The sequence below is a fragment of the Homo sapiens genome, chromosome 12 (genome assembly GCF_000001405.40).
Source record: "Homo sapiens chromosome 12, GRCh38.p14 Primary Assembly".
NCBI lineage: Eukaryota > Metazoa > Chordata > Mammalia > Primates > Hominidae > Homo > Homo sapiens.
The window spans coordinates 123,881,125-123,906,862 of record NC_000012.12 but is presented as its reverse complement, the minus strand read 5'-3'; the positions used below and the strand labels follow the sequence as shown (position 1 = coordinate 123,906,862).

The following is a 25,738-nucleotide window of genomic DNA, read 5'->3' as shown; positions in this document are numbered from 1 at the left end:
CAAAGAGGATTGAGTATGATAAGAAGGAAGCGCTTTTTAAGGACTTAAAAGATTATAAAATTGTCAAGATGTAAGTGCCGGCTCATTGCGCTTAACATCCAAATGACCTGAGAAAAGCCAGATTTTACTCATCTGGAAAAACTCAAATTGGATCCAAACTCACACAGAACCCCAGGAAAAAAATCCTCAATAGATAAAAGATTTAAATATAAAAAATTAAAACATAAGAGTACCAAAAGAAATCATGGGGAAATTATTTTACAATCTTGCAGTGTGATCAGGCCTTTTAACTAGGACACAATATCCAAAAGCCACAAAATAGGTCGGGTGCGGTGGCTCATGCCTGTAATCCCAACACTTTGGGAGGCTGAGGTGGGTGGATCACCTGAGGTCAGGAGTTTGAGACCAGCTTGGCCAACATGGTGAAAGCCCATCTCTACTAAAAATACAAACATTAGCCGGGCATGGTGGTGGGTGTCTATAACCCCAGCTACTTGTGAGGCTGAGGCAGGAGAATCGTTTGAACCTGGAAGGCAGGGGTTGCAGTGAGCCGAGATCGCGCCACTGCACTCCAGCCTAGGTGACAGAATGAGACTCTGTCTCAAAAAATAAATTTAAAAAAAGCCACAAAGGCCGGGCGCAGTGGCTCACTCCTGTAATCCCAGCACTTTGGGAGGCCGAGGCGGGTGGATCACAAGGTCAGGAGATCGAGACCATCCTGGCTAACATGGTGAAACCCCATCTCCACTAAAAATACAAAAAAAAATTAGCCAGGCGTCGTGGCGGGCGTCTGGAGGTACTCAGGAGGCTGGAGCTACTCAGGAGGCTGAGGCAGGAGAATGGCGTGAACCCGGGAGGCGGAGGTTGCAGTGAGCCGAGATCGTGCCACTGCACTCCAGCCTGGGTGACTGAGCAAGACTCTGTCTCAAAAAAAAAAGCCACAAAATAAAATATTGCTAAAACCTGCCACATAAAAATAAACATAGATGGCAAAAACAAACACACACATAAACCTCATAAACAAAGTCAAATAGCCCATGACAAACCAGGAAAAGATTTGCAACTCACCTTATGGATAAAAAGCTGAGCTCCCCATTATATAAAAAGCCCCTGGAAATGGTTTTGAAATAAAAAGCAACAATAACCACGACCCAATAGATACGCAAACCAAGTTCACAGAAAAGGAAATACACATAACTCTTAGACACACTTTTCTCATAGGAAAAAAAAAAAAGGCCAGCTTCACTCACACTAAGAGAAATGCAAATTAAAACTACACAAGTACCACTCATCTACAAAATATGCAAAAATCCCAACATGTGATCGCGCCCCCTGTTGGTAAGTCTAGGAAAAAGCAGGTACTACTCGTTTGGATTGTTGGTGAGGATAAATAGGTTCCATCCCCACGGCGGGGATTAGGCAACAGCTATGAACACTATAAATGCCTACACCCTGGGACCCAGCAATTCCACTTCCAGAAATGTATCCTGCAGGTGGACTCGCCCACGTGCACAATGAACTATGGTCAGATTTATTCTTTGCCACGCTGTTTGTAAAGGCAAAAGACTGGAGACACAATCAATTTATTTAACAAACTCATCAGTAAGGCCTTGTTAAATAAATTACGGCACAGCCACACAATGGAATGTGAAGGAATGTTCTAAAATATCGGGGAAGTTCATCATACATCAACATGCAAAAGCTCTCCAAAATATACTGCTAAGCAGAAAAGATGCAGAAAGATATGCATAGGGTGTTATAATTTGTATATAAAAGAAGGAAAAAAGGATTTGCAGGCATCCCCTGCTCTCCAAACCCTCAGAACCTGAAGTCAGGAAGAGAAGAGACCCTTGTGTACCTGGTTGCCTTGGTCATGCATGAAAATCCTCAGGAAGTGTATATGAGAAATGATATACCCATACTACCTGTTGCAGTGTGGGAAGGTGACCACAGCTGATAGAGGACACAGTGGCCGTGGGCTTTTCCCAGCATACCTTTTGGATGCTGGAGCCATAATCACAGCTAATGCTTACATGGCTCTGACCATGTGCCCAGCCCAGTTCTTCACATATAGGCTCATATGATCCTCATGAAGACCCTGATGCAGCCGAGACAATTCTTATCCACATTTTACAAATGAAGAAACTGGAGCAAAGAGAGGTTAGATGACTTGCTAAACGTCACACAGCAAAGAGGCAGAGCCATGTATGAATGTGTAAAAATTATTCCTTTTGTACTTAGGCTTTCTCAGGGGTGAGCGGGGCACCTGTCTGCAATGCCTGTCTCACTGCAGGGGACACATGCCACGCCCTCTATTTGGCCCCATGGAAGCTCCCCCCCACTCCTCCACCTTGGATTGATGGAAGGGACTCACCGTTCCTTCTCTTCAAATAAATCCCCTTCAAAAATCCTTCCTAGTCTCTGCTTTCACGATGTTTTTATGCTGCTGACCTGGGAGCAGTGGCCCAAATCCTATCACCGGTAGCTAGAAATTTCCCTGGAGGATGTGTGTGCTGACCGTGTCTCCTACCCCTCCGCTGGGTGTGCACTTCCACTGTGTCCTGGTACCTCAGCCTAAACTTCCAACGCCTAGTGCTGAAGTTTTAATACATCGATCCTTATACCCTCCTTGACACCATCCTCAACACTGAACTAATGACTTCTTGCTGACCACAGCAGCACCTCCAAGTGACCTCCCAAGAATGAACCGGGAGGTCATTCTGTCCTGGAGTGAGCTGAATTCCATGCTCAAATTCACAAATGTTTCACCAATAAGAAAACAAGGGCACGGACTTGGACAAGGAGCGCTGCTCAGCCTTCACAGGCAGCACAGAGGCAGAGAAATAGGAAGCACAGGGAACATGCACCGCTCCAGCGGGAGCCCAGAATGGAAGCCCATTACTGACCCAGGAACGGAGCCTCTCGGCTGCGAGACCCGTGTGTGGGGCCAGGAAGACTGATCTCCTTCTGGATGAAGAGTGGGGAAGGAGAGAGCTGAGGCTCCCACGCCGAGGGGTCTGTGCGGGGCCAGGCAGCACAGGGGCAGAGGCAGTGGGCGGAGGCTGGCACCAGGACAGTGTTCCCTCCCAGGGCTTTACTCACAAGACTCAACTGACCATCAGAGCCCAGGAACAGTGCCCTGGGGAGGCCAAGCCATGCGAGGAGAAAGCTTGTTAGCCCACGCCACACCACGTTACCCTCGCTGACAGCAGATGAGCCCTCTGGTGTGGGGGACAGGGTCATCTTACAGATTGATTTGCAAGATGTATGGGGGCCTCAATAGTGACCTACTCTCACCCTCCTTGAAAGCTTCCTTGGCTGGAAATGGATTCAGGCATCGCCAGTCCGGCCGTGGTGTGCACACATCTCTGCAGAGCTGTTTTCAGCAGGGCTCAGCCCCATGGTGAGCATCCTGCCCCTGCTTAGGGCGGACACTTGCCCCCGCATGTTCCGTGAAGAGCACTGTTTTACCCCACTCCATCCTTCCCTTGGCCTGGGTTCAAGGTCAGCAGGCCCTGCTTCCTACTAGCTGGGGGATCTGGATGCCTGGGGCGCCCACCTCATCTCCCTGGGCCTCATTTTCCCCATCCGAAAATGAGGGCAACAACAGTCTCCACCATGGAGAGAGCCAGGCACAGTGGCAGCATGTGGCATCGGCTCCTTTGTAAGCTCCTGGTTGCCACGATCATGGAGACTACTGGCTTGCAGAGGTGGAATGGAAGCCCAGAATGGTGGCTCAGGTGCATTACCTAATCTCAGTCACGTCCGACTTGTCCAGCTTCTGCAGTTCCAGCTTGGCGGCCTCCAGGATGGGCATGACCTCTGCCAGGGTCGTCTCGGCCTCGGCCTTCTCCATGGCAATGACTTTGTTCTGCTCCTCTATCTCCATGGCCTTTTCCTCTGCCAGTTTCTTCTTCTCCTCGGCTGCAGGGTAGGACAGGGGGTGAGTAAAGCTTGGGCTCAGAGGAGATGCACTCGCGGCCCCGGCTCTGAGCAGAGTGCAGTCCTCAAAGGTTGGCTTGAGCCCTAGCGGGGATCTAAGGGGCTCTGGCCAATGTGGCAGCCTCAGTGATCCTGGTGGGACAGAAAACCTCACCATGCGTGGGGCCTCCAGCACTAGGCAGCCACCCTGACTCTGACCTTCCTCAACTGGCCCACCTGTGTCCCACCCACTCCATCCAGGACAAATCCCATGGCTCCTGATAGCCCCCAGCCCTGCCTCGCCGGTGTTCAGTGAGGATGCTGGGGTCCCCCTCCTGCTTACCGGCTCCCTGCGATCTCCTCCTTCTGCCTCTCATCGCCTCTTCCTACGCTCACTCGGGCCCAGCCAGAGCCACCCTCTAAGGAGCCTGCCCCTCTGTCGTCCTCTCTCTCCCTTCCTTGCTGACTTGCTTCATGACACCAATCGCAATCGGAAGTTTCATTTCACCACTGGCTGATTCACTGCCTGGGTGCCCTCACTCACTAGGATGTCAGCACCTCCCCGAGGGCCGGAACCCCAAAACCTAGAGCAGGGCTTGGCTCACAGTGGTTTGAACAGTGTCACCCCACCAAGATTCGTGCCCACTGGGACCTCAGGATGTGACCTTATTTGGAAGTGGGTCTTTGTAGATGGAATTAGTTAAGATTAGGTCATACGGGGTGAGGGTGGGCCCTAAATCCAATGCCTGGGGTCCCTATCAGAAGGCCATGTGCAGACACACAGGGAAGAGGGGCGTGTGGCAATGGAGACAGACGCTGGAGTGGTGCATTTATAAGCTAAGCTAAGGAATACCAAGGGCTGCCAACAACCCCAAGAAGCTGGAAGAGGCTTCCCCTAGAGCTTTCAGAGGGAGCATGGTCCTGGCACCTTGATGTCAGACTTTGGCCTCCAGAACTGTGAGAGAATAAATTTCTGTTGTTGGCCAGGCATGGTGGCTCACACCTGTAATCCCAGCACTTTGGGAGGCCGAGGCAGGTAGATCACCTAAGGTTGGGAGTTCGGGATCAGCCTGGCCAACATGGCGAAACCCCGTCTCTACTAAAAATACAAAAATTAGCTAGGCGTGGTGACGGGCACCTGTAATCCCAGCTACTCAGGAGGCTGAGGCAGGAGAATCGCTTAAACCCAGGAGGCAGAGGTTGCAGTGAGCCGAGATCGCGCCACTGCACTCCAGCCTAGGTGACAGAGCGAGACTCTGTCTCAAAAAAATAAATTAATTAATTAATTTAAAAAAATAAATGTCTGTTGTTTTCAGCCCCCAGATCATGGTGCTTTGTTAGAGCAGCCCCGGGAGATGAATGCAGCAGGCCTTCTACAAACAGATGCTGGCTGCAGAGGCTCTGCCTCCCCCATGATAAGGTCTCTCGGAACCCATCTCCACAGCTAACAAGCCAGCACTGGCACTTGCAGCGTGCAAAGCCGTGCACGGGCCTTGACACTGTAAAGGGTCCCCAGCCCAGGCACTACTTGTCCCTGGGGCAGCAGGGGGATGAATGCATCAGAAAAGGGTAGCAAGATCACGAGTGTGGAACCTTCGGAACAGAAAAGCAGAAAGGAAGCTGTCTAAGCTGTGAGCGTGCTGAGGCGCGGGGGTGGGGGGTGGTGCCAGCAGGAACGGAGTGCAGAGGTAACAGGACACCACCAGAGCTGGCTGGGAAGGAAGAGGGCTGGTACAGGCCTCAGGAACCTCAGTGTGGGGAGCAGCCTGCAAAGGGGGCTGGCGAAGCCAGGTGCTTGAGTCATGCTGAGGAGCAAAATTGTGGGCTCTTTCAGCCAGGCAGAAGCATGGGCTGGAGGCTGGGGCAGGTGCTGAAGAGCCACCCTCAGGAGAGAGGATTGTTTGCACTCCACCCTACCCTCTGTGGGACGTGTCAATGTATCCCATTCCTATGGCCACCAGGATTGGTTTCGGCATGGGCATGTGACCCAAATCTGTCCAATCACAGCCAACTCTGGGAGCTTTGAGGGAATGTATGGGAAAGAAGAGCCCTCTCTCCCCTGGGGATGCTGAGCTAATAGGATGCCAACCTCATGCTGGAGGCTCCCAAAGTCTCAGCATGGACAGAGCCGGCTGCCTGAGATGAAGCCCAAACGGAAGACAGCAGAGCCAAGAAAGGGAAGGAAAGATTCCCACTGATACATTTGAATCCTAGATCCAGCTGTGCCTGAAGCCAGCATGCCTCTGGAATCAATGCGTTTCCACTTTGGATTAAGCCACTTTGAGCTCAGTTTCTACCATTTGCAACCCTGGAAACAGAGTTCCTAGATGAAGCTTCCTCCAAAATTCCAAGTGGGAGCAAGGTGACCCTGGACAAGGATGATGGCAATGGGGAAAGAAAAACAAGCACAGGTAGGAGAGGCACTAAACACAGGTGTGGCAAATAGGCGGTCCTCAGTACAAACTGTGGCCTGGGCACCGGGGGAGGGGCTCTCTTGGTTGTGAGCTTCTTCGAGGCAGGGGTTGAGTCTCATTCGGTTTCTAGCCCCCACTCTCCCTACCACGGTGGCTGCCATGAAGCTGAAGTCAGTATCTGCTGACTGGACAGATGAATACGTGGAATACCAGCATCCTTCAAGACACTTCCAGTCTAGTTTTACATCTAGGGGGCCAGGAATATATAGTTTTTTACATTTAGGGGGCCAGAAATATATAGTTTTTAAAAGACAGATCAAAGCAAAGTGCAGCTATGTGGGAATGAGGCATTTGATCAAAGTTCTGGAAGGAGAAACATGGACAGGAAGAAAGAAGTGGTACGGATATTCTTAGCAGACCAAAGGGAGAGAAAGAGCAAGTTACTGCAGGACTCACACAGGCATGAAGAAGTGATGCTGTGAGCAGGCGACAGGGTGTCATGAGAAATTAGGTAGGCAAGATGACATAGAGGGATTGATGGGACCCTTCACGGCCACAGTGAGGACTCAGCATCAAAACAGGCAGCAGGGATATGCCACAAATTCCTGGGAAAGGATATCTATCGATTAAGTTGCTTTGGTTGCAAGCAACAGAAGCTAATGATGGTCGAGTTAAGAAAAACGTGAAATTGTTTTAAGAAGATATGGTAGCTCACAGACATGGAAGATGCTGAAACACATAAACTAGAGGCGCCTCAGGGATCTGGGCTCGGGCACTGAATGCAGTCTCTTCACGGCGCTGCTGTGCAATGAATGAACACAAATAATCTTCAGTCTTTATATTGGCTGATTCAAAATGTGCAGTCCCAGAGAACATCTAATTGGTCTGTCAGGGTTAGAATAAGCCCATCCTGATGGCAGGCACTGGGAGTCGGGGAGAGGCAGTTTGCCAACACCAAGTTAAGGTGCTGTTGCCAGAGTGATGACAAATGGATCCTGTGCACAGGGCCGGGTGCAATGACAAAGGAACTGAACCGAGATGACACTTAGCAGCAACACGAACACGGACCAGCAGGAGAAGGAAGAGGCAGGCAGGTTGAGCGGCATCTGCAGGAATCTGGGAACAAGCTGGGGAGGGTACACATCAGAAGCCACTGGCCCAAAGACCTAGAGAGGAGGCTTAGAGGCCAGGCACAGAGCTGTGGGCTGCAGGAGCCGTCCTGTGCCAGGCATCGCGAGAGGGTAGAGTCGTCAAGAGCAGGACAGTGCAGGTGACACAGAGGCTCGGCCAAGAAGACCGAGGGAAGGGGCCCAAGAAAGAACCTTGAAACAGCTTCAAGAACCAAGAAAGTCCCGCGTCGATGGTGCCAAGGCTTAGGTCATTTCAACCCCACGGACTTAGTTCACCAGCCCATAGAGGGTCGAGTGACTTTTCCACTCCCCTGAACATCCTCAGGCTACCAGCGCAGGGGCCTACATATGGTAGCTTCTCAGTGCTTATGAAAGGGGACAAGACTGGCTGGACACGAATTCAGAAAGAAAACAGGAATTGCAGGGTCAAAGATGGCACGCTCAGTGCCTACAAGCAGTTTCACAGGGACGGCCTGGCAGAGCCCTGTCCTGCTCGGGATGGGCTGCCCTGGCCCCGCCCTCACTCACCTACGGTGGGTATTGGGTGTTGGGGATGGGCTGCCCTGGCCCCGCCCTCACTCACCTACAGCGGTGTTGACGGCGATCTCCTCCAGCAAGGCCTCGCAGGCGGCGGACTTCTCCGCCAGCACGATCTTCTGCTCGGCCAGCTTCTGGTTCAGCTCGTCCAGCTGGATGGTGGCCTCCTTCAGCTTGTCCAGTCCCCCATCCAGACGCTTGCACTGAGCTGAGGAAAGAGGGCACCTATGTTCATCGTCGAGGTGGCCACTGTTCGCAACACAATCACTGAGATTTGCCTAACTTCAGCTTATCAAAAACAAAACAAAACATTTTTACAAGATGGCACATGTCTTTCAGTACCTCCACTGCCATACTTGGGACAGCATCAGCCAAAATGAATGTATTTCTGAAGACAGTGCTTCCCTTGGCCAACAGCCAGAGCACTTTTTAAAAAGCCCTGTCCGGCAGTGCATGCTGCTGCAGCAGATAGTTGTCTCTAATGTGCGCCAGGCATGGTGGCTGCACCTGTGGTCCCAGCTACTCAGGAGGCTGAGGCGGGAGGAGCACGTGAACCCAGGAGGTCGAGGCTGCAGTGAGCCATGGTTGCACCACTGCACTCCAGCCTGGGAAACAGAGACCCTATCCCTAAGATAAAAAATAAAATTTAAAAATTGCTAATGTGATCAAAATGTAAAGCTTCAAAGTCTAAGACTCAACACTGAGAACAAAAATAAGGACATGCCAGGGTCCTGCCCACATGAAAGAATCGCTCCAAGACACAAAATCCAAGATGTGCTTCGTTTGGCCTCAATACTGAAGATGCCCCATCTTACTAAAGAAAAGATCAGCGCTCGAATCCTTACCCATAAATAATAATGACTTTTGTCAACCACCCCATCCCCAAGGCTTACCTATATTACACTGAGTTTTCTCATCCAGCAATTTTGAATAGGTGTTAATAAAATCAAGGTAGTTCTTGGGAGTGACATAGTTGCTGCGCCTCAATTTCTGTAGAAACTGTTGGCTGTAGTGGTCCACGGATTGGTGAACCAAGACAACATGCTTCACCACATTTTCTATATTTTCTGCCGGGATCATTGGATTATACCCTGAAGAGGAAGGAATAAAAAATGTTTTCTTTCTTTTTCTTTTTCGACACAGGGTCTCACTCTGTTGCCCAGGCTGGAGTGCAGTGGCGTGATCATGGCTCACTGCAGCCTCCATCTCCTGGGCACAGGTGATCCTCCCACCTCAGCCTCCCAAGTAGCTGGGACTACAGGATGGGCCACCATGCCTGGGTAATTTTTTGTATTATTTTGTAGAGGTGAGGTTTCACCCATGTTGCCCAGGCTGGTCTTAACTCCTGAGCTAAGGCAATCGGTCCACCTCAGCCCCACAAAGTGCTGGGATTACAGGCGTGACTCACCGCACCCAGCCATGCTTGTTAAGAAAGGAAAACAGGGATTCTTCAAAGAGTTAAATATAGAACTATTATATGACTCAACAATTCCACTCCTAGGTATATACCCCAAAGAACTGAAAAGCAGGGACTCAAATGAATTCTTGTATGCCAATGTTTACTGTAGACTATCACAATAAGCAAAAGGTGGAAAGACCCAAGCGTCCAGCAACGGAGGAATGGATGAACAAAATGTGTCCTATCTATACCGGGGATAGTATTCACTTGTAAAAAGGAATGAAGTTCCGATGCTGAAACACGGATGAGCCTCAAAAACATGATGCTAAGTGAAAGACGCCAGACACCAAAGGACAAACATTGCATGATTCCACTTATACGAACCCTCTCTAGAACAGGCAAATTCATACAGACAGAACACAGATTCGAGGTTGCCAGGGGCTGGAGGGAGGGGCGATGGGGAGTTCGTGTTTAACGGGTATGGAGTTTCAGTTTGGGATGATGAAAAGTTTTGGCAACAGACAGTGGTGTTGGTTTCACAACATTACGAATGTGATTAGTGCCACATGTACATTTCAAAATGCTTAAAATGGAAAATGTTATGTTACATATATTTTACTACAATAAAAAAATGATGTTAAAGTTTTTAATAGGACAAGAAAAGAATGGCTATCACTTATTGGTGGCTTTTCAGGGCCACAGCAGTGATCCGTGCTAATCCTTCTTTTTTTTTTTTTTTTTTCTTGAGACAGGGTCTCACTCTGTTACCTAATTCCTTCCCTACTGTTAGGAAGCCCTGTCTTCCCTAAAGGCCAAGACACCGTGGCAGAAGGGCCTTGGGTTTTCAGAAGCGATCACCACGTCTAACTCTGCCCTGTTGCTCCCCTCGCCCGCCCGAGGACTGGGTGGGCTTATTCGGTTACCCACCGCTGGATGACACCCAGCACATATCGGCAAAGGTGGGCCTTCCTATACACCCGCTGAAAGAATGAATGATGGCTTCCAGTGTCAAGATCACATCACCTGGATTATCTGATAGGTTGTTAAATGCATTCAGCTCAAAGCAGAGAATGTCTCATATTAAAATGGAGGAAGGAAAGACAGATTGAAAGTACCGATTAATCCAGATTCTGCAGAGCTGGTCCTGAGTTACTCCGGGGTTAGCAAAACACAGCCCCAGGGCCCATTTTACAGTGTGCAGGAAAAACGGTGCCTCACAAATATCTGTGCCTTTGGGCATAGTCATCTCAATTCCAGGGAATATATTCTCTCTCTCTCTCTCTCTCTCTCTCTCTCTCTCTCTCTCTCTCTCTGTGTGTGTGTGTGTGTGTGTGTGTGTGTGTGTGTGTGAGATAAAGTCTCACTGTGCCTCCCAGGATGGAGAGCAGTGGCACAAACTCGGCTCACTGCAACCTCTGCCTCCTGGGCTCAAGCAATTCTCATGGCTCAGCCTCCTGAGTAGCTGGGATTACAGGTGCCCACCACCACACCCAGCTAATTTTTGTATTTTTAGTAAATACAGGGTTTCACCATTTTGCCCAGGCTGGTCTCGAACTCCTGGGCTCAAGTGATCCACCCGCCTCAGCCTCCCAAAGTGCTGGGATTACAGGTGTGAGCCACTGCGCCTGGCCTCCAGGGAGTATATTCTAAGGACAAAAAAGTTCTAAGCAAATTCTAGGCAGCATTATTTATGATGCTGAATCACTGAATACTGAAAGCAAACACAAGCACTTCACACATGGAAACGGCAAATACGCCTCTGAGAACAAGGGGACATCTATATTGGGGCTGGCCAACTACGGGCCAAAGGACAAATCCAGCCCGCCCCCTGTTTTTGTAAATAAAGTGTTATTGGATCACAGCCATAGCGATTCATTTACGTATTGTCTATGACTGCTTTCATGATAAAATGGCAGAATTGAGTAGTTGCGAAAAAGCTGTAAATATTTACCATCTGGACCTGAGATATATCATCAGAAAAGAGTCATTCTCTTGGCCCCTTTTCCCCCAAAACTGCATTATGATTAAAGTTATGATTTCTTCTTACATATAGGAACATTTATTTATTTATTATTGAGTACAGATTTAGAAGGTTGAAACTATTTTCAAGGTTACCCAGTGTCATTCATCATAAATCTGCTCAAGTTAGGTCAAAAGAAAAAGATGTTCCCTGAAGACAGACTTCCTTTCTTATTCAAACATTAAAATTAATATCCAAGGCCTTAGGTGTTTGAAACGCTAGAAATTCAATGAGAATGCAGAATGTTTGCTGAATTGTCCTTGGAGCATTCTTTGGATAGAGGCCAGCACATGTTTTCTACAAAGAGCCGAACAGTACTCATACGGTCTCTGTTGCAATTATTCAGCTTTGCGGTTGTAGCATAAAAGCAGCCAGAGACAATATGTTAATTAATGAGTGAGTCTGTGTACCAATAAAACTTTATTTACTAAAACAAGTAAGGGGCCAACTAGACAGCAGACCATGGTTTTGCCAACTGCTGCTGTGGAGAACACCTAATCAATTTTTATCCTAAATTGTCCTTGCTAAGTCTCCTGAAATGTCTTTGGACTAAAACACCAAATATAAACCAAAAACATACTAACAAAATTGAAAGCCATTTGTTACCATAGGGTTTTCCAGTGAAGAAATCTACAAGACCAGAATTCAAAGTCAGAAAAGGGAAAATAAATTGCTTTGTTTTATCAATAATGCAGTTCCCATAACAGCTGTGACTTACCTAGAAAGGACTTTGCGACCGCATGGAGGGCTTGGGGAGGCCAGGGCATGAACCAGTCAATACCAGTGTTATTTACCATACCTTGAAAGGAAAGAGAGATTAAAAAGATGCTCCCAGCCTGGGCAATGTGGCGAGACCCTGTCTCTACAAAAAATACAAAAATCAGGGCCGGGTGTGGTGGCTCACACCTGTAATCCCAGCACTTTGGGAGGCCAAGGCGGGTGGATCATTTGAGGTCAGGAGTTCAAGACCAGCCTGGACAACATGGCAAAACTCCATCTCTACTAAAAATACAAAAATTAGCCGGGCAGTAGTGGTGCACACCTGTAATCCCAGCTACTCAGGAGGCTGAGGTGAGAGAATCGCTTGAACCCGAGAGGTGGAGGTTGTGGTGAGCCAAGATCACACCACTGCACTCCAGTCTGGGCAACAGAGTGAGACCCTGTCTCAAAGAAAAAAAAAATCAGCCAGGCAGCGTGGTGGTGTGCGCCTATAGTCCCAGCCACTAGGGAGGCTGAGGTGAGAGGCTCATTTGAGCCCAGGAGGTCGAGGCTGCAGTGACCTATGATGGTGCCACTGCACTCTAATCTGGGCGACAGAGCGAGATTCTGTCTCAAAAAAAAAAAAAAAAAAAAAAAAAAGGATGCTCATTCTGCAACCCTGAGACACTCAAGAACATGGATGCCATCTTCAATAGCCAACAAGTTGGTGAATGAGCCAGATGTGTCCAAATCTAGTTCATCAAAAGCAGAGTTTCTCACCCTTGGCGCTATTGACATCTGGGCTCTAATCCTTTGTGGCAGCAGCTGGCTGTGCACTGTAGGATGCTTCACAGCATCCCTGGCTTCTACCCACTAGATGCCAGTACTACACTGCATGCTCCCCGGGGCTGTGATGACCAAAAATGTCTCCAGGCATTGCCAAGAGTCCCCTAGAACACAACCTCCCCCGCCCCTGCCCCGCCCATTAGGAACCTCTGCTCTAAAGGCTGGCATGAGGCTGGTGGAATTTTCCCAAATGGAAGGAAGCGGGGAGCCACCGTCCATGCACTGCGGGCCTCGCATGGAGGAGCATGGGTACATCCTCCTGTCAGAGGGACATCACTCACGCCCACTGGCACCTAGAAGGGGCAGTGAGCCCCAAGCTACAGTGCAGAGCCCACATTTCCACCTAATGGCCGTGTCTTGTTTTGCTTTGCTGGGGGAACCTGGAGAGGTGTGGACAGACCCTCAGCCACACACTCTGCCAAAGCAGGGGAAATGGGTTCACAGGCTCCACCGCGGGTACCTGGGAAGTTTCTGCACCAGGTCCTCAGGGTGTCCCCCACTGGCGACATGCCCAGGACAATGTGCAGGTTATTTGCACTTTTGTTCACGAAGTACTGCCACACAGACTCCTTGGCCGGCCCCATGCCTTGCTTCAGAGCTTCCTGTCCAATCTGACTCAGGATAGACTCTTTCTCCTCTTCAGAAAAAAGCGCAGGTACAATTCCTGGAAAAGGAAGACATGCTGGTGATCTCTCTGAGTCCCAGGGTCATGACCGCTCTAAGTGCTGACTGAGTGATGGAAGGTGTGGAAAGATCAGCAGGTGCTGAGTCCAGAGAGCAGCGTGTGGGCCTGACCTGAGACCCGAGGCTCCCTGCCACCTCGTGGCAAGCCCTTAGAGCCTCCAGCTCCTGTCTGTCAAACGGGGATCCTAGATGCCGCCAGCTCGCCTGGGAGGATGACCGTGAGCATCACAGGGAGCATGCAGAGCATGAGGAGGCCTCACTTGCCTGTAACTCCGAAGCAGGGATTCTCAGCTGGGATTTGCCCCCAGGAAACACTGGGCCATGTCTGGAGATATTTCTGCTTGTTGCAAGGGAGGTTGCTACTGGCATCTAATAGGTCAAGGCCAGGGATGCTGCTGAACCTCCCACAGTGCCCAGGAGAGCCCCACCACAACAAAGAACAGCCCAGCCCCAAATGTCAACGGCACGCAGTCGAGAAACCCTGGCTACGTGGACTTCTTTTTTCCTATATCTACGCCGTTTCAAATTATGCAATACATTTTATGCCATCTCTGACGTTCTCCTGTGCAGGGAAGAGTTAACGTGGCAGGCCACGGCTGCTCACCTCTGAAAGGCACCTGGGAACTTAGTTTCCTTAAGAGCTTCCTCCCCGATTCACTGATAAGAGTGGCCCAATATGGGATGTGGTTTGGATCTGCGTCCGCACCAAATCTCAGGTTGAATTGTGATCCCCAGTGTTACAGGTGGGGCCCGGTGGGAGGTGACTGGATGATGGGGGCAGATCTCTCATGGATGGTTTAGCACCATCCTCTTAGTGCTGTTCTTGTGAGCGCGAGTGAGTTCTCGTGAGATCTGGTTGTTTGAAAGTGTGTGGCCCCTCCCCCAACCTTGCTCCCACTCTGGCCATGGGACGCGCCTGCTCCCCCTTCACCTTCTGCCATGACTGTAAGTTTCCTGAGGCCTCCCCAGAAATCAGCACCATGCTTCCTGTACAGCTTGCGGCACTGTGAGCCACATGAACCTCTTTTCTTTATAAAAAACCAGTCTAAGGTATTTCTTTATAGCAATGCAAGAACAGCCTAACATTGTGCCCACACTGCTTGGGTATGCAACGTATTCTATGCTGACTACCCGCTCTCCCTCCGGGCATCCGGGATTTTGGCACATGCCAGGTAGAGGTGCCTACATGAGCAGCCCCAAGGAAATCCCGGAGCACTGAGTCTCCAACTAGCTCCCCTGGTGGGCAGTACTTCACACGAGTTGCCACAACTCAATGTTGGGGGATTAAGCATGTCCTGTGTGGCTCCCCGGAGAGAGGACTCTGAGACTTGAGACTGGTCTTCCCTAGGGTCCCCCATGCACTTTTTCCCTCTGCTGATGTTGCTCTGTGTCCTTTTGCTGTAATGACTCACAGCCATGAGCAGGACCACATGCTGAGTCCTGCGAGTCCTCCTAGCAAGTCACGGAGCCGGGGATGGTCTTGGGGATATTCAACAAGGGAGAGGGATCCCTCCCTTGGCAGGGAGCCCAAGACTCCCAAAAGACAAAGAGGAACTTGCTCCCTGTGCTCTGCCTGCCCTCTCAGTCTCTTCCTCCCGGGGCTCTGCCTGCCCTCTCAGTCTCTCGCTCCCCGTGCTCCGCCTGCCCTCTCAGTCTCTGCTCGTTCCTCTTCCACCTGAACTCAGTGCTGGGCTCTCCCTGGATGGTTCACTCGGGTCCCACCACATGTCAGTGACTCTGAAATTGACGTCCCCACCCTAGGCTCCTATTCTGAGAACCAGACTCATGTACACACTGCCTATGTATTACGGTTGAAGTTGCATGTCGCCCTGAAAAAGATATACTGAAGTCCCCAAAGTAGCTCAGATTGTGACTTTATTTGGAAATTGTCTTTACAGAGATAATCAAGTTGAAATGAGGTCATTGAGATGGGCCCTAATGCAATATGACAGGTACCCTTATAAAGGAGGGAAATTTGGACACAGAGACAGACAGCACACAAGGGGAAGGCCACGTGACAACGAAGACAGGGACTGGAGTTCTGTGCCTACAAGCCAAGGAACACCAAAGACTGTCAGCAGCCACCAGCAACACAGATTCCCCCACCCAGAGCTCAGAAGGAACGGGCTCTGCCGACACCGTGATCTTGGGCTCCTGGCCTCCAGAACTGTGAGAGTAGATTTCTATTGTTTTAAGCCACCCAGTTTGTGGCATTTTGTGACGGCAGCCCCAGCAAACTAATACACTATATGACATCACATTCAGATTCTCATCTAGTGCAGCAAACTCAACACGCTCCTAATGCCACAAGCCCAGAACTGGTCTTCCTCATCTCAGCAAATGGAAGCACTGATCACTCGCTCCACCAGAAACCTGGGAGTCACCCTTGATACCCCTCCCCCAACCCACAGCCAAATCGATCGAAGTCCCGTTGGCTCTGCCTCCTGAATACCTCGTGAATCCACCCACTTCTCTCTGTCCCCAGTGCCCTACCCTCCTCCAATCGCTGTCACTTCCTGCCTACACTGCAGGGGTAGCTCCAAACTGGATGCCCCTCTCCCACTCCTGTTCCCCTCTAATCTCGTCCCCACGGCGCACTGGAGGGATCTTTTAGAAACATAAATCTTGGCTGGGTGCAGTGGCTCACGCCTGTAATCTCAACACCTTGGGAAGGTGAGGCAGGAAAAACACTAGAGCCCAGGAGTTCAAGACCAGCCTGGGCAATGCAGGAAGACTCCACCTCTTAAAAAAAAAAGTGTGTTTTTTTTTTTTTAATCAGCTGGTTGTGGTGAGATGCATCTGTAGTCCCAGCTACTCGAAAGGCTGGGACAGGAAGATTGTGTAAGCCCAGGAGTTGGAAGCTACAATGAGCTATGATCATGCCGCTGCATTCTGGCCTGGGCAACAGAGTAAGACCCTGTCTCTGAAATAATTAATTAATTAAATCTAAAAAATTAAAAAACCCATAAATCTGGACTACGTCATTGCACTGAGAATAAAATCTTATCTCCTATAAATGACCTACAAGGTTCCACGCCATAGAACCCCTCCACCTCGTCCTGATCCCTGCACAACAGCCCTCTAAAGGTGTCCATGGCATCCTAAGCCCAGGAACCGGCCAATGGGTTTCTTTATGTTTCCTGCAAAAAGGACTCTGTGGATGTGACGCAGCCAAGGATGGTGGGATGGAGCGCGTGCTCTCAATTACCCAGGTGGGCTGGAGACGATCACAGGGGTCCCCACAAGAGAGAAGCAGCTGAGTTTGCATCAGGATGACAGAAGTAGAGACTGGAAGGATGAGAGCCAGCGAGCTAAAGAGCCAAGAAACGGGTGGCCTGAAGCAGTTGGAAGAGACAGGGAAACAGAGTGTCCCCAGGAAGCTCTGGAAGGAACCAGCCCCACCAACACCCTGATCTTAACCCCTTAAGACCCTTTTCTGATTTCTGACCTCCAGGCGCATAGGGGAATAAATCCGTGCTGTTTGGGGAAATTTGCTACAGCAGCCATAGGGAGTGTGATCACACAGCATCTCTCAGGCCTCAGCTGAAAAGTCTCTACAGTGACGCCTTCCCTGTCTGCCCTGAGATGCTCCTGCCCACACTCTCTCTCACAGCAACTCCCCTTTGCACTCACGGCACTTACCACAATCTGCAATTGCTGTATCTCTTTGTGTAGTTGTTGTTGTCGTTAACCAGTCCACTCACACGCTGAAATGTATGCTCCAAGGAGGGCAGAGGTCATGACCATCTTATTCCCTACCAAACCCAGTGTCTGGAATAAACACTGTGGAATAAATCCAGGTGGATGACCCGATCCCCCCTCTCAAGGAGCCGACAACCCACTGAAACAGACGCAACTTAAAACGCAATGATCAAAATGCAGCAAATATACACTTAAAATGTTGTGCGTTTCCCTGTATGTAAATTTTACATCAAAAGAAAACACTAAACAAAACTTGAACTCTAGATAGTGGCACGCAGAAGCATTTAGCGGGGAGAGCAGTGATGTTGCAATTGACTCTGAAACGCATCTAAAAACGAGAAGGGCGGAAGCAGGGAGGGAGGGAAAGCTGTTTACACGCATGGCAGAGCAAGTGCAGCAAGGCGAGAAAGGAGGGATCTAGATGGCATGCCGGCAGATGTTCACAGAAAAAATTCTTTCAGCCTCACTGTTATGTTAGAAATTTTTTATAGTAAATGCTGGGAGGCTGGGGCTCAATGAATAACACAGCAATACAATAATGAATATGGTCAGGTGCTGAAACAAACAAGCAATCGATGAAATAGGTCCCTGGGAAAGAAAGGAGGTCCCTGTAAGCCATTAGGCCAGACGAAGTCAGCACGGATCTTTGCAGGGCCCCAGGGTAGACAAGATAACAACACGGTAAAGTGGTTGTGAGCGTGGCTAAGATGCTAAAAATCCTGGGTTCGAGTCTCACCTCAGTGCCTTCCCAGCAAGGTGCCCTTGGATAAGGTAGGTGGCATCTCTAGTAGATTTCTGGGGCAGCCATGACTAATTACCCCAAAGCGAGTGGCTTCAGACAAGAAATACAGACACCGACTCTCTTGCAGTTCTGGAGGCCTGAAATCAAGGTCTCAGGGTAACCTGCCAACAGCTCCAAGGGAAAAATCCTTCTTTGCCTCCTCTGGCTTCTGGTGGCTCCAGGTGTCCCGTGACTTGTGGGAATCTTTATGGGACCTTATTCTCTGTGTCTCAAATCTCCCTCTGCCTTCTCTTATAAGGACAGCTGTCACTGGATTTAGGACCCACCCTAAATCCAGGAAGGCACTTCAAGATCTTTAATTTAATTACATCTGCAAAGACTCTTTTTCTTACAAAGGTCTCGTTCTCAAGATCCAGGGGTTTAGGATGTGTCTTTTAGAGGGCCGCCATTCAGCCCTCTACAGGGGCCTCAGTTTCCTCAGCTGTGAAATGAGGATGTTAATGGTACCTTCCCTATTAGGTTTGATTGTTTTTCAGTTGCTTTTGTTTTTTTTTCTTTTTGGAGACAGGGTCTCACTCTGTTGCCCAGGCTGGAGTGCCATAACATGATCATGACTTACCGCAGCCTCAACCTCCCAGGCTCAAGCAATCCTCCTGCCCCTCCTGAGTAGCTGGAACTACAGGCTCACGCCATCATGCCTGGCTAACTTCTTAAAAATATTTTTGTGCCAGGCACGGTGGCTCACGCCTGTAATCCCAGCACTTTGGGAGGCCGATGCGGGTGGATCACAAGGTCAGGAGATCGAGACCATCTTGGCTAACACGGTGAAACCCCGTCTCTACTGAAAATACAAAAAATTAGCCGGGCATGGTGGTGGGTGCCTGTAGTCCCAGCTACTCGGGAGGCTGAGGCAGGAGAATGGTGTGAACCCAGGAGGCGGAGCTTGCAGTGAGCCAAGATCACGCCACTGCACTCCAGCCTGGAAGACAGAACGAGACTCTATCTAAAAAAAAAAAAGAAAAAAAAAATTTGTAAAGACGGGGTCTCAAACTCCTGGGCTCAAGCTATCCTCCCTCCTTGGCCTCCCAGAGTGCTGGGATCACAGGCAGGAGGCACCACACCTGGCCTCTCATCAAGTTTTTGTGGAGACGGGAATGTATGATGCACACTTAGCACAGCCCGGGGCACGGCCAGATGCCCAGACACCACCTGTTCTTACTGCAAGGATACTGCCATCATCGCAGACGGAGAGAAGGGGGCACACTCGGGAGACTCCAGGACAGGAGGAGCCAAGGAAGATAATGAGACCTATCTCAGGGGCCGCCGTGAGGGAGGAACAGGTACACCCGCACAGGGCTACCCACAGTGTCTGGAGGTGGTAACTGCTGAAGAAAGTGAACTCCCTTAAGAGCTGAGCGGGGTGTTGGCCACAGCGGGCGCCAGCCTTGGCTGTACCTGAGGTCAGCATGTTGTTGATGAGCTCCAGGAAGCCCTCCTCAGCCACATGGGCATCCGTGAACAGAAAGATCATCGCTTTGTTCTCAATCCCAAGTTTCAAATAGAGGCTCTTCAGGTCTTCCCGGAAACTGTTCTCCGAGTAGCCTCGGCTCAGCAGGATCTCAAACACCTGCGATGCAGACACAGAGCACATGGGCGTCACCACCACCAGCCTCCCTTCCCTGCGGGCTCCGGGGTGGGGACGCTGGAGGAGAGTGCAGAGGGCGTGGGTCTGTCCAAGCTCGAGGAAGTAGGTCAGGAAAGAAAAGTCTGGAAGGGACTCCCTGTCATGAAACAGAGGAGGGGGAAGCCCCATGAGCCCAGCAACAGAGGAAAGGGGGGAAGAATGTACCCCAAGGTGAACGCCAGCCACATACTGCAGTTTACAGAAAATCAGACCCTGTGGGAAGACGCACACAGGGAGAAATAAGCAGGCACTTTAACTTCGTGACAGGAAATCAATGTACACACGAAATCGATGTAAATGTGAATAAGGACATAAGTTTAAAGCACGCTTTTTCTGCTCAAGTGTTTCTTTTAGCTCAGAAGCAGAAATTAAAACTTTCATTGCAACCAGCGACTGTCAGAAACATGGCAGATTTCCAGGAACTGAGAGATCTCTCTCTGTTCCCTACCTCCCTCAACCCTATGCATTGACACACACGCTTCACTCACACTGTCACACTCACACAGTCATTCCCACATGTTCACACTCAGCCACACACTCACTTGCACCCTGGCATGCACTAGAACACATGCTCACACACACACACACACGTGTGCACACACACGCGCGCGCGCGCAACGCAACCAGGATGCCTTCTGGCCAATAGACTCTGGTCTCCAGTTCTGCCTGTCGCCTGCAAACCTTCCTCACCCCTCCCGAGTGCAGCCGCCTCCCCTCCCCAGCAGCTCCTGGCACTACTCTCTGAACACCTGTTCTGACCCCACTACCCAACCCTCGCCACTTCCTAGGGCCCAGACACAGCCCTGTGTGTCCTCAACCTCCTCCAGATCTCTGTCCCTCAACATCCTCTCTGCTGTTCCTCGAGGCGCTACTTTAGGGGAAAATGCCTCAGATTTACCTGGACAAATCAACAGAAAAAAAATAATAAAACTTTCCAGTGGGGAATGCCTTGTCCTATAGAAAAATGTGGAAAACAATTGCAAACAGTTATATTTTAACAATGAATGATTTCAATTATGTATTTCATCAGATTTAAAGCTAGATCAAGCATATTAGTTTTTCCCTTTTTTACAAATACCTCAAACAAAAGGCCAATATTTGTGAAATTTTGGAAGCTGGATTCATTGAATGAACTGTGATTGCTCTCCTATATAAAGAGTTCTCACAACTCAATAAGTATATAAAGGGGCAATACACAAAAGAGAAAAGGTAAATGTCCAAAAAATGTATAAAAGGATATTCAAACTTTACTATTAATTGGAGAAAGGATCATTTAAACTGCAATATTTTCCACCTATAATCTTGACAAATATCAGCATGACAATATCTAGTATTGGCAAGAATATGTGAAAACAGACACTGCCAGTTGCATAAATTAGCATAATCCTTTGTGGTGGGGTGATTGGTTGTTAATAAGGACACTTTTTTCCTTTCCTTCTGTCCTGCATCCCCAGGTCCTTTCCACTCCAAAGAGGCAAACTCCATATGAGTTTAGATCCAACCTTCCCAGTGCGAAATCTGGTGCCAGGCAACCAAAGCTGTAAAAGAGCATATACCCTTTAACCTGCCAACTTACCAATCTCTAAAGAAAGTGATCCTATAGGGAAAAAAAAATGAACAATATTCAAAGATACATAAACAAAGGTGTTCATCACTGCACTGTTAGTAATAAGAAAACAAGGACAAAGCTAAATGCCCGCCATTGGAAATGGGTTATGTGTGGCATATCCAAACAATAGAATACTGTCCAACGCTTCCAAAGACAATGTAAATATGTATTTATTGACTTGGAAAGACGCAGTGACACAGTGGGGAAAAATGACATAAGTTACATATAACTTTAACCCATTGCTGGTAAGAAGGAAATACGTTTGTGTATGAATGCACATATGGTCCCTGACTTCCTCTGGTTCAACTTAGAACTTTTTGACTTTGCCATGGCGCAAAAGTGCTACACTTTCAGCACACTCCTCAACTTAACGATGGGGTCACATCCAGATAAACCCATTGTAAGTTGAATATATAAATCAAAAGTGCATTTTCAGCTTATAATATTTTCAACTTATGATGGGTTTATTGAGACAGCCCTATTGTAAGTTGAAAAGTGTACATTATTCCGTTGGTTCCCAGACCAAAAATGAAAATAACAGAAAAATAATTTAAAAAAAGAAAAGTATACACTAAAAGGCTACTGGTACCTAACAGTGGCAATCTTTAGGTGATGAAATTACAAGTGATCCTTATTTTTTTAGACGCTTCTGCATCATTTGAATTGTTGCAGTGAGGATTATTCCATTTAGAGGGAGAGAAATGAGTGAGTCCATAACAATAGTGATTCTTACTCCGTGCAATAGACTGAATGTTTGTTCTCCCCACACACACACACAAAATTCCTTTGTTGAAATCATAACCCCCAATGTGATGGTATTTGGAGGTTGGGCTTTTAGGAGGTGATTAGGTGATGAGGGTGGAGCCCTCACGAATGGGATTAGTGCCCTTATAAAAGGGACCCCAAAGACTTTTCGTGCTGTCATCCATCCATGTAAGAATGCCATGAGAAGCCAGCCATCTGCAGCCCGGGAGAGGGCCCTCTCTGGAGCCCGACCATGCTGGCACCCTGATCTTGGAATTCCCAGCCTCCAGAATGGTGAGAAACGAACACCTGCTGTCCACGAGCCAGCCAGTCTATCGCACTTTGTTATAACAGCCTGAACTGCCTAAGACTCTCTGTGGTAATGGCAATGATGCTGAGTTAAATCTGATTCCAGAAAACACACTGAAGACAAAGAAGAAAGTCTGTGCAAAAGAACACCTCTTAGGTCAGGAGTTCAAGACCATCCTGGCCAACATGGCGAAACCCCGTCTCTAGTAAAAATACAAAAGTTAGCCGGGCGTGGTGGCACATGCCTGTAATCCCAGCTACTCAGGAGGCTGAGGCAGGAGAATCGCTTGAACCCGGGGAGGCAGAGGTTGCAGTGAGCCGAGATCACGTCATTGCACTCCAGCCTGGGCAACAGAGCGAAACTCCATCTCGGGGGCGAAGAAAAAGAACACCTCTTGCTTGCCAGGAGGAGAAGAGTCATGAAAATGACCCTTCTGCAAGAAGTGTCTTCTCTAAAGGTGGACTTATCAAAAGGTTCTGAGGTAGACATGAGGGGTGGCTGAGCATCTGAGAAGAACTGAGGCTGAATACAGATCCCGTCCTGCACCACACACCCAGAACAGGCACGGACAAAACTTCAGTCCATTGCATGGAATAAGAATCACTATTGTTATGGACTCACTCATTTCTCTCTCTCTCTAAATGGAATAATCCTCATTGCAACAATTCAAGCAATGCAGAAACGTCTAAAGAAAATAAAGATCATTTGTAATTTCATCACCTAAAGATAGCCGCTGTTAGGTACTAGTTGCATTTTAGGGTACACTTTTCAGCTTAAGATGGGGCTACGTCTCAATAAATCCATTGTAAATTGAAAATATTATAAGCATGCATGTGTATCATGCAACCAGAGGCAAAAACAGAGGCATTTTGGATAACGGGAGACCCTAATAGTGAAAGAAGTCAGATACCAGAGAACTAATGAAGAGTCGGGGAGAAAAGGGTGAATGAGGGACATGACTCTTCTTCAAATTACATCTCAATGCATAGTGTCTGCTCCACTTCGAGAGGCCCCTTGCAGGTGAGTTACCTGTGGAACCTGCAGGAGGTACCTGTATGATTCTAAGAATGGTGTGGACAAACAGGAACCCTCAGACGCTGCTGGTAGGAATGGAAAACGGTGCAGCCACACCCTGGAGGTTCCTCAAACAATTAAACATAGAGTTATCATAGGATCCCGCAATTCCACTTGTAGGAGCATACTCAAGAGCAATGCAAACACATGTCCACACAGAAACTTGTGCATGAAAGCTCACAGCAGCACTGTCCACAAAAGCCAACAGGTGGAAACAACAAACACGCCCAGCAGTGGATAAAGGAAACGTGGCATAGCCACACGAGGGCCTCCTATTTGGCAAAAAAAAAATGAAGTACCGATGTATGCTACAACATGAACTTTGAAAGCACTGTGCTAAAAGAAAGATACCAGACACAAAATAGACACACACACTATTCACATGAAAGTCTAGAATAGGAAGACTATAGAGACAGAAAGCAGATTAGTCCGTTAGTTGCTCAGGGCTTGATGAGGGGAGGGTGCAGAGGTCAGGGTGGTGATCACTAAAGGGCATGGGATTTCTTTTTCTTTTTGAAACCACAAAATGTTCTTTTTTTTTTTTTTTTTTTTTTTTTTGACAGAGTCTTACTCTGTCTCCCAGGCTGGAGTGCTGCGGCATGACCTCAGCTCACTGCAACCTCTGCCTCCCAGGTTCAAGTGATTCTCCTGCCTCAGCCTCCGAGTAGCTGGGATTACAGGTGCGTGCCACCATGCCTGGATCATTTTTTTATTTTTAGTAGAGACGGGGTTTCACCATGTTGGCAAGGGTGATGATGAACTCCTGACCTCAGGTGATCCACCCGCCTTGGCCTCCCAAAGTGCTGGGATTACTGGTATGAGCCACCACGCCCGGCCGAAGCCACAGAAGTGTTCTAAAGTAGACTGTGGTCTGGTTGCACAGATCTGTGAATGTGCCAACAAGCACTGGCTTGTATGCTTTGAATGTGTGGATTGTATGGTCTTGAATTCAATCTCAGTAAAGCTGTTTAAAAATACAAGATTCTAAGATTAACCCAGATCTGTGTGTGCAGGCTGTGCAGATATGGCAGCCAGCAAATTGCCAGCCCCATACTATGGGTGCACTGAGGTTTGGGCCAAGCCCTCCCCATATGAACACACATCACCGTTCACAGGATGTGCTTGTATTTGACTTTCTAACTTGATCTGACATTCTCCATCCTAAAAACAAAGCAATACAGATGGTCCCCGGCTTTGATGGTTCCACTTAGGATTTTTCAACTTTATGATGGGTTAATTGGGATATTAAATGTATTTTCAACTGACAATATTTTTGACTTATGATTATTTTATCAGGATGTAACCCTATCCTAAGCCAAAGAACACCTGTACTTAGATGCTCTGGCTATTCAGTTAAAATATAGTAATATCAAGCCAAAAACAAGAAAAAATAAAACAAACCAAAACACCCACCTCGATACTCTATGAAAACATCATGCTATGATCTGCTGTGGATTGTTCCAATATGTACACGAACTACCAACTGCAGAAACTGGCATCGTAAACCTATTTCTGGGAGGGTACGTGGACTGACCTCACAGCTGGCTGTGAAGGCAGCCAGCCTCGAAAGAGACTGCTTCCCTGAGCCCCCTACCCCGACCAGCAGGGCGTGGCCGCGGTCCATGCGGATGATACGGTGCACCCGGGTTAAATGCTCCAGAGCATCGTCGAAGAGAACCAAGTTCATTTTGGTGTTGCTTTCATTATACTCTTCAAGAATTTCCTGCATTTAAAAAAAAAAAAAGAATTCAAAACCCAGCATGGTGGGTTTTACAATCTACCCATCTGACAAAGGGCTAATATCCAGAATCTACAAAGAACTTAAACAAATTTACGAGAAAAAATCAAACAACTTCATCAAAAAGTGGGCGAAGGATACGAACAGACACTTCTCAAAAGAAGACATTTATGCAGCCAAAAGACACATGAAAAAATGCTCATCATCACTGGCCATCAGAGAAATGCAAATCAAAACCACAATGAGATACCATCTCACACCACTTAGAATGGCAATCATTAAAAAGTCAGGAAACAACAGGTGCTGGAGAGGATGTGGAGAAATAGGAACAGTTTTACACAGTTGGTGAGACTGTAAACTAGTTCAACCATTGTGGAAGTCAGTGTGGCGATTCCTCAAGGATCTAGAACTAGAAATAGTGTTTGACCCAGCCATCCCGTTACTGGGCATATACCTAAAGGATTACAAATCATGCTGCTATAAAG

The 25,738-nt window shown here is 48.5% G+C and overlaps 1 protein-coding gene across 11 annotated transcripts in view, besides 1 other annotated feature; it reads right to left on the bottom strand.

Annotated features, from left to right (window-relative positions):
* DNAH10 (dynein axonemal heavy chain 10) overlaps positions 1-25,738 on the bottom strand; it is a 173,420-nt gene that overhangs the window by 28,858 nt on the left and 118,824 nt on the right. For 9 of the 11 annotated variants that reach the window (NM_001372106.1, XM_011538014.3, XM_011538015.4 and 6 more), the window contains 7 exons: positions 25,050-25,238; positions 19,550-19,721; positions 13,427-13,630; positions 12,140-12,220; positions 8,896-9,093; positions 8,049-8,210; positions 3,750-3,924 (listed from right to left, as the gene is read on the bottom strand). In NM_001372106.1, the coding sequence (NP_001359035.1) occupies positions 3,750-3,924; positions 8,049-8,210; positions 8,896-9,093; positions 12,140-12,220; positions 13,427-13,630; positions 19,550-19,721; positions 25,050-25,238 (1,181 nt within the window). The remainder of the gene's footprint in view (positions 1-3,749; positions 3,925-8,048; positions 8,211-8,895; positions 9,094-12,139; positions 12,221-13,426; positions 13,631-19,549; positions 19,722-25,049; positions 25,239-25,738) is intronic. The other 2 variants (XM_011538016.3, XM_017018960.2) reach the window with 2 other exon arrangements.
* Positions 7,537-8,037: an enhancer, noted in NCBI's record as "H3K4me1 hESC enhancer chr12:124383373-124383873 (GRCh37/hg19 assembly coordinates)". NCBI's record gives its function as "activates a minimal SCP1, AML or CMV promoter by ChIP-STARR-seq in naive H9 embryonic stem cells {active_cell/tissue: H9 hESC(naive)}" and the evidence as "EXISTENCE:reporter gene assay evidence [ECO:0000049][PMID:30033119]".